Consider the following 20710-nt stretch of genomic DNA (forward strand, 5'->3'; position numbering starts at 1 on the left):
GTTATTGGTCTATTCAGAGATTCAGCTTCTTCCTGGTTTAGTCTTGGGAGGGTGTATGTGTCCAGGAATGTATCCATTTCTTCTAGATTTTCTAGTTTATTTGCATAGAGGTGTTTATAGTATTCTCTGATGGTAGGTTGTATTTCTTTGGGATCGTTGGTGATATCCCCTTTGTCATTTTTTATTGTGTCTATTTGATTCTTCTCTCTTTTCTTCTTTATTAGTCTTGCTAGTGGTCTATCAATTTTGTTGATCTTTTTAAAAAACCAGTTCCTAGATTCATTGATATTTTGAAGGGTTTTTTGTGTCTGTATCTCTTTCAGATCCGCTCTGATCTTAGTTATTTCTTGCCTTCTGCTAGCTTTTGAATTTGTTTGCTCTTGCTTCTCTAGTTCTTTTAATTGTGATGTTAGGGTGTCGATTTTAGAACTTTCCTGCTTTCTCTTGTCGGCATTTAGTGCTATAAATTTCCCTCTACACACTGCTTTAAATGTGTTCCAGAGATTCTGATATGTTGTGTCTTTGTTCTTATTGGTTTCAAAGAACATCTTTATTTCTGCCTTCATTTCGTTATTTACCCAGTAGTCATTCAGAAGCAGGTTGTTCAGTTTCCATGTAGCTGAGCAGTTCTGAGTGAGTTTCTTAATCCTGAGTTCTAATTTGATTGCACTGTGGTCTGAGAGACAGTTTGTTGTGATTTCAGTTCTTTTACATTTGCTCAGGAGTGCTTTACTTCCAATTATGTGGTCAATTTTAGAATAAGTGCAATGTGTTGCTGAGAAGAATGTATATTCTGTTGAATTGGGGTGGAGAGTTCTGTAGGTGTCTATTAGGTCTGCTTGTTGCAGAGCTGAGTTCAGGTCCTGGATATCCTTGTTAACCTGCTGTCTTGTTGATCTGTCTGATATTGACAGTGGGGTGTTAAAGTATCCCATTATTATTGTGTGGGAGTCTAAGTCTCTTTGTAGGTCTCTAAGGACTTGCTTTATGAATCTGGGTGCTCTTGTATTGGGTGCATATATATTTAGGATAGTTAGCTCTTCTTGTTGAATTGATCCCTTTACCATTATGTAATGGCCTTCTTTGTCTCTTTTGATCTTTGTTGGTTTAAAGTCTGTTTTATCAGAGACCAGGATTGCAACCTCTGCTTTTTTTTTTTTTTTTTTTTGCCTTCCATTTGCTTGGTAGATCTTCCCCCATCCCTTTATTTTGAGCCTGTGTGCCTCTTTGCACATGAGATGCATCTCCTGAATACAGCACACTGATGGGTCTTGACTCTTTATCCAATTTGCCAGTCTGTGTCTTTTAATTGGGGCATTTAGCCCATTTACATTTAAGGTTAATATTGTTATATGTGAATTTGATCCTGTCATTATGATATTAGCTGGTTATTTTGCCTGTTAATTAATGCAGTTTCTTCGTAACATCGATGGTCTTTACAGTTTGGCCTGTTTTTGCCGTGGCTGGTACTGGTTGTTTTCTTTCCATGTTTAGTGCTTCCTTCAGGAGCTCTTGTAAGGCAGGCCTGGTGGTGACAAACTCTCTCAGCATTTGCTTGTCTGTAAAGGATTTTATTTCTCCTTCACTTATGAAGCTTAGTTTGGCTGGATATGAAATTCTGTGTTGAAAATTCTTTTCTTTAACAATGTTGAATATTGGCCCCCAGTCTCTTCTGGTTTGTAGGGTTTCTGCCGAGAGATCTGTTAGTCTGATGGGCCTCCCTTTGTGGGTAACTCGACCTTTCTCTCTGGCTGCCCTTAACATCTTTTCCTTCATTTCAAGTTGAATCTGACAATTATGTGTGTTGGGGTTGCTCTTGTTGAGGAGTATCTTTGTGGTGTTCTCTGTATTTCCTGAATTTGGATGTTGGCCTACCTTGCTAGGCTGGGAAAGTTCTAGTGGATAATATCCTGAAGAGTGTTTTCCAGGTTGGTTCCATTCCCCATCACTTTCAGATACACCAATCCAATGTAGATTTGGTCTTTTCACATAGTCCTATATTTCTTGGAGGCTTTGTTTGTTCCTTTTGACTCTTTTTTCTCTAACCTTGTCTTCTCACTTTATTTCATTAATTTGATCTTCGATCACTGATACCCTTTCTTCCACTTGATTGAATCAGCTATTGAATCTTGTGCATGCGTCACGAAGTTCTCGTGCCATGGTTTTCAGCTCTGTCAGGTCATTTAAGGTCTTCTCTACACTGTTTATTCTAGTTAGCCATTCGTCTAACCTTTTTTCAAGGTTTTTAGCTTCCTTGCTATGGGTTTGAACATCCTCCTTTATCTTGCAGTAGTTTGTTATTACCGACCTTCTGAAGCCTACTTCTGTCAACTTGTGAAAGTCATTCTCTGTCCAGCTTTGTTCCATTGCTGGCGAGGAGCTGCTATCCTTTGGAGGAGGAGAGGCACTCTGATTTAGAATTTTTAGCTTTTCTGCTCTGGTTTCTCCCCATCTTTGTGGTTTTGTCTACCTTTGGTCTTTGATGTTGGTGACCTACAAATGGGGTTTTGGTGTAGATGACCTTTTTATTGATGTTGATGGTATTCCTTTCTGTTTGTTAGTTTTCCTTCTAACAGCCAGGTCCCTCAGCTGCAGGTCTGTTGGAGTTTGCTGGAGGTCCACTCCAGACCCTGTTTGCCTGGGTATCACCAGTGGAGGCTGCAGAACGGCAAATATTACTGCCTGTTCCTTCCTCTGGAAGCTTCGTCCCAGAGGAGCACCGAACTATGTGAGGTGTCTTTCGGCCCTTACTGGGAGGTGTCTTCGAGTTAGGCTACACGGGGGTCAGGGATCCACTTGAAGAGGCATTGTGTCTGTTCTCAGAGCTCAAACGCTGTGGTGGGAGAACCACTGTTCTCTTCAGAGCTGTCAGACAGGGACATTGAAGTCTGCAGAAGTTGTCTGCTGTCTTTTATTCAGCTATGCCCTGCCCATGGAGGTGAAGCGTAGAGGCAGTAGGCCTTGTTGATCTGCAGTGGGCTCCGCCCAGTTTGAGCCTCCAGGTGGCTTTGTTTACCTACTCAAGCCTCAGCAATGGAGGACACCCCTCCTCCAGCCAGGGGGCTGTCTCACAGATCCATCTCAGACTGCTGTGCTAGCAGTGAGCAAGGCTCTGTGGGCGTGGGAGCCACTGAGCCAGGCACGGGAGAGAATCACCTTGTCTGCCGGTTGCTAAGACCATGGGAAGAGCACAGTATTTGGGTGGAAGTGTCCCGTTTATCCAGGCAGTCTGTCATGGCTTCCTTTGGCTAAGAAAGGGATATCCCCTGACCCCTTGCGCTTCCTGGGTGAGGCAGTGCCCCACCCTGCTTTTCCTAGCCCTCCATGGGCTGCACCCACTGCCCATCCAGTCCCAGTGAGATGAACTAGGTACCTCAGCTGGAAATGCAGAAATCACCCATCTTCTGCGTTGATCATGCTGGGAGCTGCAGACTGGAGCCATTCCTGTTCGGCCCTCTTGCAGTTGTGTGCAGATCATTATTAATAGTTTTTAAGTTGAATTCCTGTTACTGTTTTCTAAAGCAGTATCAACGTATTGATATTTGTAACTATTGATTTTTTAAAATATCTCTGAACTTAACAAGAGTTACATCTAACTTTTTAAAGCAGTGAGCTCTGAACCCATAAAATTACAAAATGCTAATTTTTGCTATAGTTTACTAGCTTTCTGTGAACTTAGGAATGTTTGCATTTATTTTTAGGAATATCTATGGCTTGTTCATTAAGCAAATGTTTATTGAGACTTTATTGTATGCCAAGGACTAAAGTAGTAAACAAGATAGACATTGTCTATGTATACTAACGAACCATATATTCTTGGGGGATGGAGTCCTTCTGTCAGTTCATTTATCAGTTTTATCAGTGTGTATGACTCTAAAAATTATTCACAAACCTCTATATCAATATTTAGATATCTTGTTTTTGCTTTGTTAGAAAAGATGATATTATGTAATTATATATATTGAAAACATAGAGCATATATTCACTATTCTTTTGAAAAGTGCTATTGGGCCGGGTGTGGTGTCTCACGCCTGTAATCCCAGCACTTTGGAAGGCTGAGGCGGGTGGATCACCTGAGGTCAGGAGTTTGAGACCAGCCTGTCCAACATGGTGAAACCCCATCTCTACTAAATACAAAAAATTAGCCAGGGGTGGTGGCGCATGCCTGTAATCCCAGCTACTCGTGAGGCTGAGGTGAGAGAATCACTTGAATCTGGGAGGCGGAGGTTGCAGTGAGCCGAGATTGCATCATTGCACTCCAGCCTGGGCAACAACAGTGAAATGCCATCTCAAAAAAAAAAAAAAAAAAAAAGAAAGAAAGAAAAGTACTTTTGGTTATTTTCCTTTATTCTTTTAACATCTTTCTAGAAGTTTTTATTTCGGTACACAATCTTGGTATTTTGATTTTATAGAAGTAAATACAATTAAATTATAGTACATAATAATTATTTTAATTTTTCTCATAAGGAGACATTAAAAGGTAATAAAATAAATGAAGCCAGCTTTCTTTTGAAGTCACCAAGGTTAAGTGGTCTTTCTTCCTTTGCAGATGAACAAATGAGTATTTATTATTATGAATGTTGTTACTACTATTAATAATAATACCTAATATTTTTTGAATTACTCTGTGTCAGATAGTGTATAAAATGTTTTACATATAGAACTTCAGTTAATCTGCCTGATTGTCTAATTTAGAAATGAGAAAGCTTCTGAGATAAAGGTACTTTTTCAAGCTAACACAGTTCCCAGGATTCTACCCAGAGAGCTCTCTCTCTGATCTTCTGCTCATTAACTTCTTATTGTTCTACACTGATTCTTTTTTTTTTTTTTTTTTTTTGGAGATAGGGTCTCACTCTGTCTCCCAGACTGGAGTGCAGTGGTGTGATCTTGGCTCACTGCAACTTCCATCTCCCAGGCTCAAGTGATTGTCCTGCCTCAGCCTCCCAAGTAGCTGAGATTACAGGTGTGCACCACCACCACCCAGCTAATTTTTGTGTTTTTAGTAGAGACGGGGTTTCACCATTTTGGCCAGCTGGTCTTGAGCTCCTGACCTCAAATAATCCACCCGCCTTGACCTCCCAAGGTGCTGGGATTACAGGCATGAGCCACTGCACCTGGCCTTATTGTTCTATACTGATTCTTAAGACTGATGCAGAGGATTTCCTTCTTTTAAATTAAATGTATGTTCACTCGAATCTTTTTTTCACTTAGGTAACTTGCTTTCAAAATCTGTATTCTGTTAGGATCCATTAGGTTCTGCTAGGGTACTTAATCAGTAAAATGTGCTGGTGGTTGCCCAGTCATGAGTGGTAGGGTTTATGACTCAGCAACAGAAAGTAAGAATAAAGGATGGTAAGGACAGCAATCTCAATGAGTTAGCGTCATTCTTGTGCACAGTAGCCACCAAGGCTGACTATTTCCATTCAACCACATTGAGCCCTTTTTACCATTTTCTGAACTGTGTATTGCTTCTTCTTTTTTTTTTAACTTAATGCAGTTAAAGCAAAGTATATTTGATATTTTAAAAAGTGTTGTAGAGTCTGTTCCCTTACTCGTGTCAGAAACCATCATATTTAAAGGGCTGGGTGCGGTGGTGACTCACGCCTCTAATCCCAGCACTTTGGAATGTAAGACGGGCAGATCACTTGAGGCCAGGAGTTCACGACCAGCCTGGCCAACATGGCAAAACCCCGTCTCTACTAAAAATACAAAAAATTAGCTGGGTGTAGTAGTACACGCCTGTAGTCCCACCTACTTGGGAGGCTGAGGCATGAGAATTGCTTGAGCCTGGGAGGCAGAGATTATGGTGAGTCGAGATTGCACTGCTGCACTCCAGCCTGGGTGACAGAGCAAGACTCTGTCTCAAAAAAAAAAAAACCCAATATATTTACTTTTTTCTGTAAAATAATTGGGTTACTTTTTGGCTTTACATTTAGTTTCACTGATTTCCTCCAACATTTCTTTCTGGAGTATTATTAGTATATTTGGGATTGAAGACTTGAAATTAGATATGTATAATATTTAAGATGTTTTGTTTTGTTGATTTACACATTAATGTTATTCTGTTTACCTGCTTTTCTTAATTATAAGACCTGCTTGTTTACTTTTGACGTCCTGAAGATTGGGCCATAATTGCTGAGATTTTAAAGGATTCAAGCTAACAGTGGTTCCTTCATGTGTAACTTCTCAGTAAATTTTCAGAAGATTATACTGCTCTTATGGGACAGCTTCTTAAAACTTCTCATTTAACTAAGACGTTAAATTGACTTTTCAGTTTTTAAACTTGGTACGCTATAGGTGCAGGAAGCAGAAAAGACCAAAGATGAAGATGGTCCTTGATTATATTTTTATTCTGCCTGACATCTGTAGTTCTTCTCATTTCTTAGCACCTTGATAAGTATCATACCTGCAGGAAGTGCTAACAGATAGTATGATGTACATTTGTAGGCTCTTCTGTCAGTTGTGTGCATAAAAGAGGTTGGGTGGCCTTGAGGATTGGGCTTCTCAAATTTTTAATAGAACCTGCTTATCTGGTTTTCAAAGCACATGGCCGTACTCTTAGCAATTCTAGGCCTTTGAAAAAAGAGTAGAGTTGTCTGCTATTCATTTCTCGTCAGAAGTCTATCCAAAAAGTGATAATTAGAGACAACAATCTAAAGACATGTAGGTCCCCTTCCTTCCACCAAAAACTGCTCACCCCACAGTTTTTCCTAGCTTTGTAAATACCAGTTCCATCTTTCTAGTTGTTTATGCCAGAAATTTTTAGTCATTTTTGGAATTATTTTTCCTATATCCACATCGAGTTATCAGCAGAACTTCTTGACCCTCCCTTAAAAATATAGCTAGAATCTGACGTATCACTTTCATCACTCCCACCCTGGTCCAGGCCACCATCATATCTTGCCTGGATCATTACAAAAGCCTCCTAATTAGTTCTCCTGCTTCAGTGGTTCTGCTCTCAACAGTCTAATCTCTGTGTAGTTGTTTGTGTCCTTTGAAGGGTTCGGTCAGATTACAGCAATCCCCAGCTCAACACCTTCTAATGATTTCTTGTCTCACTCAGTAGAAGCCAAAGACTTCACAATTACCTATAAGGTCCTAAATGATATTTTTGGTTGCCTCTCTGATCCCATCTCTTAGTACTCACTTCTTTACTCCCACATAGTCATACTGGTCTTGTTAACTGTTGCTGAAACATAGTTGAAGCACAAGCCTGCTTCAGGTGTTTAAACTTGGACTGTTCTCCCCTTAGATATCTGCATGGCTTGCTCCCTAACTTTCTAAGGTTTATGATCAAATGTTACCTTATTAGTGAGGCCTTATCTGACTACCCTATATTTAATAGCCATACCTTTACACTGCTTTGTATTTCTAAGTAGCAGGAATTACCATGCATATTTTCTGGTTTATTTGCTTGTTATCTGTATCCATTGTGGTGTAAACCCCATAAGGACTAAGACTTTATGTTGCCTGCTTGTCCCAGTAGCTAGGACAGTCCTTGATACATAGTGGGTGCTCAGTATATACATGTTGAATTTATTTTTGTAGGTCCTCAAAGTTATGTCTTTCTGGCAAGTTAGCTCACCAGGAAGTTTCATAGTGGACCAAATAGCCTTTGTAGGCCTTTTTGAACTATGTTTTAATGTTTTGCTCTAGGTCATTAGAAGAAACAGCCTCATGAAAAGCAATTTTGCATTTGGCATATGTCATCTTGTATAATTCAGTAGCCCTTATTAGAGATTCCAGAGGAGAAATGTCTTTTGGAATTTAGTGTAAGAAATCCAGTTGAGAAGCAACCTTGCTCTTTATTTTATTTATTTATTTATTTGTTTGTTTGGTTTTTGTTTTGACAGGGTCTTATGCCCATCACCCAGGCTAGAGTGCAGTGGTGTGATCACGGCTTACTACAGCCTCAACCTCCTGGGCTTAGGTGATTCTCCCACCTCAGCCTCCCAAGTAGCTGGGACTACAGGCACACACCATCATGCTTGTCCATTTTTTTGTATTTTTAGTTGAGACGGGATTTTGCCGTGTTGCCCAGGCTGGTCTTGAACTCCTGGGCTCAAGCGATCCACCTGCTTCGGCCTCCCAAAGTGCTGGGATTACTGGTGTGAGCCACCTTGCCCAGCCAACCTTATTCTTTTTTGAAGGCTATAAATATTCCGTTGATGGATGCGTCACAATTTGTTTTAACCAGTCTTTTATTGATAGGTATCAAACTATTGATTATTTTGCTGTTATAAATAGGGCTTAAGTGTGAATATCCTTACACATATCTTGTATAATTTTATACATATATGTTCATATTATGTATTTATAGCAATAACATTTCTAGTTCAAAGGATATGTATGTATAGAATTTTGGTAGACCTTACCAAAGTGCCCTCAAAAGGTCACATTGATTGTATATTACAACCAGTGGTTGACTATAAATTGTGTTTTGGATTTTGACTAAGTGTCTTTTTTAAAAAAAAAAAAACAAAAACTTTTATTTTCAGAAGTTTCTGTTGCTTTGTTTTCAAAAATTCACATGACTAAAACTAGACAATATTTTTTACATTTTCATATGTTCATTTATTTATTCATCTGGTAATCATTATCTGCCTGTTATGTACCAGGCGCATAACTTCTTTCCTTCCTTTTTTCCCTCCTTTCTTTTTCTCTCCCTCCCTCTCTCTACACCCTGATCTCTGTTCTTTTTTCTCATGTTAAGATAGTGATACTTGTACATACCTTATAGGGTAAAGTTCTTGTGCAAGTACTTGGCATAGAGTAAGTGCTCAGTAAATATTCACCATTATAATTTTTCAGTGAAGTTGTCTTGCTCTCTGCAGTTTTGTTTGCCAGTTCCTTTTTCTGTGGTTTGTTTTGGCTCTGTATTTTGTTTGAGGCTTTCCTCAAGTATCTATTGATCTCTGCTAACAATTTATAGTTAAGAGTGAGGCTAAAGAGATGAGGGACTTTTTGACATGTGGATGTCACTGTAGATTGATTATATATTGAGAGGTCATTTTTGTTTGTCACTATTCCTAGCCCACCCCACCCCCAATAAAACCATCAATATGTAGATTTTTTTTCTCCAGAGAGATATCCTGGAGTGATATCCTATGTTTGGGAGCTGAGAGGGAGAGGGATCCTGTGTGAACCTCGATCAGTATGTATACTTACCCTTAACTTTGCCTCTTTCAGAGTGGCACCTCACCCAGTGCCCTCTGCTGTTTGGGTCCCTCTAGCTCAGTTTCTCCAAAGAATAAACCTTTGTCTCCTGCTAGACTGGGGGAGGGCTAATTGTCTAATGCTTATGTAGACTTTCATCCAGTCCTTTATTTGCTGTCCTGTGTCTCACCTCTGCCTTCTGTGTTACTTGGTGCTTCCAATTTTGGAATCTTCCTAGTTTCTGTGATGCAAATGTATTGATTTTCTACTGTGCAAACTCTTAGGTTTCAGCTTCCTCTGCCCTCTGCCCTGCTAAGTCTGCTTTCCATCTTAGAAAAATGGGTTGACATCTCTGGTCTGCTTTTGTCTCCTCTGCTCTTCTTAATGTTTTTCTGGGTGTATACCTTTTCTGTTTCTTCATTGTTATTTTAATAGATTTTTTTTTAAAGGTTGCAGAGATAAATGTGTAAATTTAGTCCTTCATGTTTAACCAGTTATTGATGATCTGGTAATAGTTTTTTTCCTGTGAATTTTTTTTTAAAGTAAAAAACCCTACCCCTGATACCTTACCCCTTCAAGTGAATTTTTTTGATGTTATGAATTCAATTAATGTATTCAATATGTTGAAACTACATCAAGCTGATTAAATTTCAGGGTCTTAGAAATCAGGTACAGGCAATTATGTTACGTGTACATATACATATGTGTGCATTTCAAAAATTTCCTACCAGGTAGTCACTAAATTTATATATAAAGAATGGGTGCAGTTTTAATTCATTCTTTAGTTCTTAGTTTTCACATAAGAATACATTTGCCTCCTCATTTTAGCAATTGGAGTTGCTCAGCAAATGAGAAATCTTTATATTCTCTCAGAAATTGGAAATATAGTATTTAATGTGTCACCATCATCAAAAGTTGATTGTATCACTTGCAGGGTTTTTGGACACTGTGCTATTATGCAGGTTTTTAAAAATAATGTTTGCTATAATCACTTTCAGATGATGTCAGCCTCTCTTGCTAAGGTCTCCTTTATGTACTGATTACTGTTGTTATATATCCATGCTGTCTGATAGACATCCAGTAGACATCATCACATCACACTGTGAAGATGGAAGTGTTCTAAATCTGTGCTGTTCAATAAATACAGTAGCCACTAGCCACACGTGCCTGTTGAGCACTTGAAATGTGGCTAGTGTGACTAGGGAACTGAATTTAAAATTTTATTCAAACATTAATTAAGGAGCCACATGTGACTAGTGGCTACCATATTGGACAGCATAGTTATAAAACGTTATTCTGATAGGATGTGCTAAGTGTTTTATTCAAATTATTTTATGTTGTTATTCATTTAAATTAGTTTGGAATAAAGTATTCAACCGAGGAATAAGAGTTAGCTGAGTTGTTCCAAGTTCATTATTCATTATTATAATTTGAAATACATTTTTCTTTGACTTCCATAAGAATAAAAATATGCAGATTGCTATTTCCGAATTGAAAAGAAAATATATTTTAGATGAGTGTGCCATGCCAGTTATTTGGAGTATTTTTTGTGCTGATAAGATATTGAAAGTCAAAGCGGAAGGTGACAGTGAGCCTCTCCAGTGTTTTCTTCCATCTTTCAAGAGAAAGGGGAAATACTGTTTGAGTCAAACCTTGCTATTGTTTTAGGGTGTTTACATTATTGAAGATAGTCATGGTGATGTTTTGGCTTTGCTTTTTTTTTTTTTTTTGCGTGATCATAGCTTACCTTTAATTATTGGACTCAAGCTATCCTACCATAGCTTCCTCGAGTAGCTGGTGCTATAGGTGCCTGCCACCACATGCTGCTAATTTTTTTGTTTGTTTTGTTTTGTTTTTTGTTTTTTGAGATGGAGTCTTGCTCTGTCACCTAGGCTGGAGTGCAGTGGTGCGACCTCAGCTCACTGCAACCTCTGCCTCCCGGGTTCAAGTGATTCTCCTGCCTCACCCTTCTGAGTAGCTGGGACTACAGGCACACACCACCACGCCCGGCTAATTTTTGTATTGTTAGTAGAGTCAGGGTTTCACCATGTTGGCCAGGCTGGTCTCAAACTCCTGAGCTTGTGATCCACCTGCCTTGGCCTCCCAAAGTGCTGCGATTATAGGCATGAGCCAAAAATTTTTAAAAATTTTTGTAGAGAGAAGCTCTCACTATGTTTCCCAGGCTGGTCGTGAACTCTTGGCCTCAAGCAATGCTCCCTCCTCGGCCTCTGGAAGCACTGGGACTGGCCTGTTTTTGCATTTTTAAAGTTTGGATGAAAATGCTTTGTGACATCAAACTTTTTTGTGAACTACAGATTAATTGACTAACTAGAATTATGCTATCAGTTGAGGTCTGTAGTAAGTTGAGTGTCATTTAATTGGTAAAATTGTCAGTTAGTTTTTATAAAAAAATAAAAAGCATGGGACTAAGAAGCATGGGTTTTGGGAGTTGAAGGTTGCATTGAGCTGAGATTGTGCCACTGCACTCCAGCCTGGGCGACAGAGTGAAATTGTGTCTCAAAAAAAAAAGAAGCATAGGTTTGATTGCAGAACATTACAATTCTGCTTTTATTTTAAGTGAAATACAGCATTTTGGAATATTAATTAGCATAGTTACCACTACGCATGTAGTTTAGCAAAATATACTATATTTACTATTTTATACAATATTATTATTAACAGTTGAATATTATTCAGGCCTTTGAGAAGATATATTAAACAGTTATTTCAAACTCTTTTTTGTTCTACTGAAGGCCTCAATCCCTTCTTAGTTTTTCATTCTCAGCAAAAGATTTCTCCTTCTATTTCGTAAAATATGAGCACTCACATTCTTGTTCTTTCTTATCAACTTTCAGTCATCATCACTGATTCCCCACCACCTCTTGCATTACAGTGGAAAAAGTGTCCTGTTCTGACAAAAACAGATCTCTCCAGCTAAGGTCTTACTTCCTCCCTTTTTACTTATTCTTTTTTTTTTTTTTTTTGAGACAGGGTCTTGTTGTATTGCCCAGGCTGGAGTGCAGTGGTGTGATCATGGCTTACTGCAGCCTTGACCTCCCAGGTTCAAGCAATCTTCCCACCTCAGCCTCTTGAGTAGCTGAGACTAAAGGTGTGCACCACCATGCCCAGCTAATTCTTTAAACTCTTTTGTAGGAATGGGTTCTCCCTATGTTTTCTAAGCTGGTCTTGAACTCCTGGCCTCAAGTGGTCCTTTTGCCTTGGCCTCCTCAAAAGTGCTGAGATTACAGGTGTGAGCCACTGCTTCTGGCCACATGGATCTTGTATATCAGTTATTTCACTTGTTTTATGTAATTTCAGCCTATCTCCATTATTTTTTTTCTCTTTGTGTTTTAATAAGCTCCACTCTTCTTCATATGTAATAGAAGGGAGGCAACTCTTCTCCTCCCTTCTTCCTTGTTTTCAGATCCAGGCTTTTTGAAAGAACTGTTTATATTCATTTTCTCTAATTCTTTCCATGCAAGCCATGCTTTGACATGATTTTGATGCATGCTGAAGTTTGAGAATCACCACCCTACCCTATCTTTGTGGGTCAGTCAGGAAGCTCACTATTATTGCTATGAATTGGAATCACTGGTTATAGGTTTTAAAGGACCGTTAGTTTCCACTTAAATAGACACAGAAGAATCAACTTCTGGTGGGGCAGGATGGTGTTTAAACTTAGAAATCATAACTGTAGGTGAATTAATTAAGATTGGATTTGGCAGTGAGTGACAGAAACCCAATATAGTGGTAGCTTAAAAAGGTAGTTCACTTCTCGGACAAACACGGGTAATCCAGGTTTGGTGACTACATGATTATCAAGAACCTGGGCCCCTTTACTCTTGTTGCTCTACCATTTCTAACACTCAGCTGCTACTTCATGGTTCTGTTTGGCTGCTATAGCTATAGCCATCCTTTTTACATTCTAGTCAACAGGGAGGAAAAAGAGGAGATACTTTCTCCTTTTAAAGAAACTTCCCAGCAGTTGTCCAGAACTTTTAGTCCAGTTGGCCATACCCAGTTGTAAGGGAGCCCGGAAAATAAGTTTTTATTTTAGGCAGCCTTGTGTGCAGATAGTTTCTACCACTGTAGGGAAAGGAGAGAACATATGTGGCAGGGATAACAGCCTCTACCAGGATAAGCTCTTGGGAGCTTTGAATGGCTCAATCAGTAAACAATATTGCTTATTATAAGTAGTGCACTATGAAAGATGAATTGTGGGAAAATGAGGGAGATTGGGGGAAGGAGAACAGAATTGAAAAAAAAAATTAAAAATCTCCCCCTTGCTTTTCTAAGAGATGCCATTTACTTGAGGAGATCAGACATGCATACATAAGTTACAGAGCAATGTAAGAATCAGAGGATGCAATTAGTGGGGGAATCAGACTCACGTGGGATTTATTTTTGGAGGCAGGCATCTCTAAAGGACTGGAGTTTTGAGAAAACAGAAGAGAATTGACATACTTTTGGGTAAATGGAGTTCTTTGTACAAGATATTAATCACTGTTTTGTACCCTTAACACTTAAGAGTCTTAACACTTATTTCTAATGTAGAGTTGAGGAAGGAATTATAATAAACCTATGAGAAATCTCTGTTGAGTAAAATGATAAATAATATCCTTGTTAATTTATTAATTTATCTTATCTTACTTTTGACAGCTATTTATAGTACTTTCAATTTCAAAATAGACAAAAGGTTTGTCTTCCAATTTGTATGTGGTAATTAGAACCATTGTAACTTATGACCTCCCCAATTGAATAACTGAATTATTTTATAGAAATAACATAGTAAATTTTGTGAATAGAGAAAAAGAAGCCAAGAAGTCATAGAAGAGAGAACAAGGGGAGTGGACTTTGAGTATTGTAAAAAACAGTGGGTTTGGCAGAGTTCACTGGTGTCTTAAAAACATTTAAAAATGAATTAGTGTGATCTAGTAATAGAGTTTTGCATTTTTTTACTTAATATTATAATGTGTACATTTTTTCTTGATGTAAAATTTTTTCTAAAGCATGAGTTTTAAAATTGATTGTGTATAGCATTCCATAGTTTGGATTTACTATAATGATTTACCCCATACCCTTATTATTAGACATTTAAATTGCTTATAACATTTTTGTAACTATGAGCAAAGATAAACAATTTAAGTCTTTAAAAAGTGAATTCGTGAGCACAGAAACTACATGTTGGAATATAGGGTATTACTGGAGAGAACTTTGAGGTAGCAGAGATAGTATTTTGAGTTTTCCTCTAAAATGAGGAAGATGATGATCCTATAGAAAATAGTGGAATGAAGCAATTAATAGCTTATAAAATTTGGACTTTAGTCATCTACTTAAGAAAATTAAAGCTATATATATAGTATTGCTGGTTTACATAAACTAATACAGTAACATAAATGTGGATAATTTACATTTTATTCCTTAGGTATACATACATACTTTAAGTTTCATGTATTTACTGATGTCTAAATCATACTGATTTTTAAGTAGTGACATGACATTTTTGTTTGGAAAACAAATCCTTCACTTTAAATTGGTTCATTGTTTTCTATTAGAGTTTTGTAGTATGAAACTATTCAGTTTAGAAAAGAAATGCATACAAATTTCTGTTCAAATATGCATATGCTTTTTACTGGGCTTATTGTATGTATCTTGATTTACAGGCCTTTTTGCAAATGTGTAACTTGCCTATCAAAGTAGTTTGTAGGGCAAATGCAGAATATATGTCTCCATCTGGTAAGTGTGTTTTTTTTTCTTCTCTGTTAATATTATGGAGTGATAAAATTATAGTGATAGTCCAGTTTGTATCTACATGTTAAAATGCCTGATTTTTTTTGTTTACCCTTTGAAGAATCTTTCCATGGTTTTAGAAAGTAACAATTGCAAATTTGACAATCTTGGGGTTGGCATATCTATTCATTTCAACTGTGATCAGAGATGGTTACTGACGTGTGGAAATGGTTTTAATAGTAAGGGAATTGTTTTAAATAGTAAATGTTAAGGAAATACATGATCTCAGATTTCCCTAGTCTTAATGTACATAAGACTTTCCTGTTGAGAAAACAAATTTTAGTAATAATGAATCCATTTATTATTCCACACATCTTTCTTAATTATATTCTCCCATAATACAGCTGGAAGAAGAGAGATTGTAGAAAAATTAATTTGTCGTTAGATCTTGAAGTCATCACTGAATGTTTTTGGTTTCTAATTATTTTTTCTAATGCTTAATTTTAACAGGTTTTGAGATGCTTTAGCTTCCTATTTTTTAAAATCAGTATTATCTTTATGTCAGTAGATTAAATTACTGTTTTAAATAAATAATTCAAAATTTTTAATATAAAAATGTGCTACAAAGCTGATAAATAAATGTTATATATAATTATCATGGATGATTATTGTAATTATGGTTTTGTTGGAGCAATAATACGTAGAATTACTCCTTTTTGAATAAATTATTAAGTATAACTGATTGGTATAAGTGTGTAACATTGCTTTTTAGGGAGACATTTTTCATTTTGATATGATAATTTAGGAGTGACTTGTGTTAAATTTTTTTTTTCCACCTTAAGTTTTTAAGGGTGGTAGAAATTGTTAAAAGGTATGAAGACACCCCTTCTGTACATAATGTTCTTTTATATAAATACCTGGTTTTAGAGGTTTATGAATATACATTTAGAAAACATTTCCATAAAATAATTTCTAGGCTTGTAAATGTAAACATATTTTAGATTCTTGGAGGGCATTCATTGACTCATTTTTGTGTTGGTTTTATACGTAGATTTTAGGAACTACAGAGTTCTGGTGAAATAAGTTATGTTGTGTTTTGTCCATCCTTTTCCTCTATGTAGTCATACAAACAGTTTGTATATTTATGTAAAAAGGTTAGAAGGTTAGTAATCTAATGCTAAAGTTCAGATCTTTGGCAAGTGAGATATCAATATAGTTTATCTACCTGTTTCCTAAAATTACTATACTTAGTGTCATTTAGGTAGATACCTATTTTCTTTTTATTAGATTGCGCGAAAGACAAACATAAATATTCTAGAGACATACAAAAATATACATTCTTTCATAGGAGTCTCCTATAGGTAGATGAAAATGGCACTTTCTACTAAGATATTTAAACTTTATCATATCTCAGATTGGTATTCTCTTTCATTTAATGATTTGAGGTGATAGGGAAATGTTTTTTATTGTATTTGCTTCTTTGATCTTGCGGTAGATTTTTAAAGCAGAGAGCATGGACTAGTCAGAAGACCAGTTGACTTAAACTCTTATTTCCTAAAGAGTTAGGAAATCTTTAACTAATCCTTCTGTGACTTTGTCACATATTAACTATTTCCTTGAGAAATTTCACTTCTCTGAGCCTCAGTGACTTCATCTGTAATATAAGGTAGCCGGATTAGATGACATCCAAGGTCCTATTTCTTGCATTCTTTGAATCTGCCAACTTGTTTGGCAACATATTCTTGCTTTCTTTAGAATAAAAATTTTAAAAGTGATTATTCTGTCTAAGACGGTAAACAAAGCCCTCAGTTTTCTTATATGACCTTTGATTCGCACCAGAAAATAACTGTCTTACTGTGTTTTTGCCTGATACCTGCAATAATAAGGATATAACATTGGCTCCATTTTCATTAAGCAGGCTAGTGACAGAAAACATTATTCACTTCTAATTTGTTGTGTTTGTTTTTATATATCTCTTTATATTTAGAGATATATAAGATTAATACTCAGTTGACTATCCACACTTCTTTTTGCTTCAGAATTGACAACGCTCAATGTATTTTTAAGAAAAGAAAAAAAATACAAACCCTTTTTTCCAAGAACCTGAAACTGGTCATTAAAAACAAGGAATATGCTTTGCTCTAAAAATATTATACCCCCAAATACTGTTTGTCTAGGTACTAAATAGTTTTCATTCTCAGATCATTTGATCTCAGGGGACCTGTAATAATTCTGGTAGTATAGTAGTTACAAAGATTTTATCCCGAGTTAAGAAAACAATGTGGCCTAATGCTTAACCAGATAAAAAAATTTTTTTTTGCAAGATTTATAAAGCAGTAGAAGGAAGGAATGCAGAATTGGCAACAGGGAAATATCTTCTCAATACATCTATTGAGTTGTTGTGTTCCAAAAGGCCTGCCTTTTCTTTGTAATGCATGTTGTCCTATGGATGCAGTTGAAGCTTTTGTTAGGCCTCTGTACTTCATCCATTACCCCCAGGCTGACGGAGCCAGAGAGGAGTGAATCTATTGAAAAGGAACAGGAAGAAGCCTGCTGTTAGTGTGAACTCTATTTGAACTAGGTGTGACAGCAGGTTTCATTCTTTAGCATTTGGAGTAGACCCTTCTTGCTATTTGGAGATTATTTTGTTCTCTCATCTCTAATAATTCCAAGTATTAGTATTTGTTAAAGTGAAATATTTCTTTTTTAATGTGACATTTATCTATAGAAGCTAGTTTTTATAAACATACTATTATTTTTTCCCACATGTTGGGAACATACTCTGTATTACAACTCACCAACTAGCATGCCTTCAAAGATTGTTAATTCTTTTAATTCTTGCTATTTTGAGTTAAAGAGATTTATTGATATACAATTACTTGCTTAAAATGTTGATCTCAATGGGTATCAAAGACTTAAAAGATGTAAAAAGGTTTTTTAAATGTAGTTTACAATATAGATTGATTCACTGTACTCTGAAAAGAAAGCTTACATTTCTTTGAAATATATCAGTGGTCATGTACCAGTGTCCTGGCTTGGTTCATGTAATTTGGATAATTAGTGTTTGCTGCTATATGGTGATATGTTTGTGTTGGCTCTGAAAAGAGAATGTTATGTGATCTGTTATTATATCTAAGTGAGAACTCTAGAAATGAATTTACCTGTTCTTTTTTTCTAAAGTTGGTTAGTAATCAGTTTAAAAACTTACAGAATTTAATATACACATCTGACAAAAATTTTCAAAAGTTACAGTTTTATGAAATCCCTATTTATAAATACCTGAGTTTTGTGTTAATTTTTTTTAATTATCACAAACTTTAACATACTGGAAGTATTTTTATAAATACTTTTTTTTTCTCTCAACAGGTAAAGTACCTTTTATTCATGTGGGAAATCAAGTAGTATCAGAACTTGGTCCAATAGTCCAATTTGTTAAAGCCAAGGTAATAAAAAGATATTAAATGTATTTGATCAGTTACCAAGTCATTCATCATTCTTTAATGTGTCTTAACATTTACATTGATTTCAACCTAGTTTTATAAAATGCCAATGCAAACTACTGGAAAATATTTCTGAAGTGTAAGTTAGTATTTTTTCATGATATAATGGCAAAAGAGGTAGCTTTTTTTCCTCTATTAATGTCAAATTTATTAAAGGTATGTAATTTTAATATCTAGTCTAAAGAGATGGTTTGATCTTTACAAAATGGTAGATAATTTTCTAACTTATGCTTACTACAACTGTGGTCATAAATGAAAAACTATTAGGTTTTGAAGTGTCTGGCTGACCTTTGAAAAGGGAGATACAGGATTTGTTTGAAGTTGAATGTATTTATCCATTTGAATGATTCTGCTTTTCATTTATTCAGTTTAGATTTTAATAGTTATTAAGGAACAACTCCCATTAGTGTTTCTGAAAAATCATTCCAGACTTTTTGAATATATAGAAAAACCTAGATCATACTAGTGTGTATTATTTTGCAACATACCTTTTAAAATCATAAATATGTTTGGAAATTCTTCCATATTAATAGCTGTAGGTATATATCATCCTTTCACATTGTTGTATTCTGCTGTATTGGAGATATATATATATCTCCAAAATATATATATATATTATTTTTTTTTTCTTCAACACCCTCCCCCTGTATTGGATAAATTAGAATTTTATTTACTCAAGTTTATTGTTGGGCTTTTAGGTCATGGCCAATTTTTTGTTTTTATAGAGTACTAAGATAAATTTTCTTATATATACATCTTTGTATAAATTCCTAAGGTTGGTATTGGTACCTTAGGATAAATTCCTGAGAGTGGTATTAGGATGTCATAGGTTATGTACTTTTTAAATCTTGTAATAGATTGCCAGATTGAACTAAAGGTTATATCATTTTATGTATCTCCTAGTAACTATAGAGTATTAGAATTTTAAAATAAGTGGGTTTCTCCCCCCATATCTTTACAAACGTATTTTTTTCATCTTTGACCACTTTATAAACAGCACATGTCAGTCTTTTGGCATTTCCTTTATTTCTAAATAAGGTTAATCTCTTAAACAAGGTTTGCTGACCATTCTGTTTTCTTCTTTTGTGAAGTAGTTGATAGTGTAATTTTCTCTATTGAAAGATACATTTGTATAATGACAAGTAAGTACATACTAATATTTTGTAGTGATAGCAGAGTATTATTTATGCTTTTATATAAAATAATTTTTAGGGGGCATTTTGGACGTTTAATTCATTGTATAGTTGCATGTTACGTTATTTGTTAGTGAGATAACTGAAAGTTTTTGTATATTTAATATGATGTTCTTTTAAATTTTTTTAAATTCCCTTTAGGGCCATTCTCTTAGTGATGGGCTGGAGGAAGTCCAAAAAGCAGAAATGAAAGCTTACATGGAATTAGTCAACAATATGCTGTTGACTGCAGAGGTAAAATACTAGATGATACGGCTTGAAAATAAGCTTTTTCTCTCATTCTCATAAAATATAATCTTTCTTATGGGTTAAAGTTATTGAGAAATGGGAAAATAGTCAAGTAATTCTAGAGTTGAGTTGGCTACCTAAATTATTTGATTATTACCTTTGAACAAGTTACCTGACATTTTCAGTTCTAGTTTTTCTGTTTATAAAAAGGAGTGATTCTTGCCTACTCATTATTTTACTTTGGCCTTTTGAAATTTGCTTAAATAATATCTGTAAAACACTTTAATGGTATTTAGACATGTATTGTGTGAATAAAAAATATTTTTATAACGTACCATCATTACATTTTTGTGGATAGCAGCTAAGAAAAACAAACCGCTACATGTGTGACTTATGAAATTAGCTTATAAAAAATTGCCTTGGCAAAAAATAACTTTCTTTATCCTTTTCCTCTTTGGTATTCTAAAGTTTAGTGACTGTTCTTTTGTTCCTAGCTGTATCTTCAGTGGTGTGATGAAGCTACAGTAGGGGAGGTGAGTGGTTCTGTAACATTTATCTTAATTAAAATTTAATGAGAAAACACTTTTGCTCAGAATCGCAAGTCCCTGCTCATAAATGAAACATTGTGGTTTATACCATTAGTGATATAGTTTTTCACTTACTTTAATTTTGCTTGCACATAACATTTTAGGGAAGCTATGTGTCATTGTTTGATATAACGGGTTGCAAAGTACATAAAAGTTTATATATTTTTAAAGGGAATGGCTTAAAATTTTAATTTTTTAGATTGCAGGATGTGTATTTTTTTCAGATTGCTCTATTTATGTTCTCTGAAAATATATTTCTTTTAGAATTCTATTTGTAAAAACGGGCATTGTTTTTAGGAAGGATCACCTTTTTTAC

The 20710-nt window shown here is 35.7% G+C and overlaps 1 protein-coding gene across 5 annotated transcripts in view; it reads left to right on the forward strand.

The window, feature by feature from the left end:
- The window catches only part of MTX2 (metaxin 2), a 68584-nt gene that overhangs the window by 39131 nt on the left and 8743 nt on the right, over window positions 1–20710 (forward strand). For all 5 annotated transcript variants that reach the window (NM_001006635.3, NM_006554.5, NM_001319098.2 and 2 more), the window contains 4 exons: window positions 14820–14892; window positions 18253–18329; window positions 19721–19813; window positions 20302–20340. In NM_001006635.3, coding sequence (NP_001006636.1) covers window positions 14820–14892; window positions 18253–18329; window positions 19721–19813; window positions 20302–20340 — 282 coding nt within the window. The remainder of the gene's footprint in view (window positions 1–14819; window positions 14893–18252; window positions 18330–19720; window positions 19814–20301; window positions 20341–20710) is intronic.

This window comes from Homo sapiens, chromosome 2 (assembly GCF_000001405.40).
Source record: "Homo sapiens chromosome 2, GRCh38.p14 Primary Assembly".
Lineage (NCBI taxonomy): Eukaryota > Metazoa > Chordata > Mammalia > Primates > Hominidae > Homo > Homo sapiens.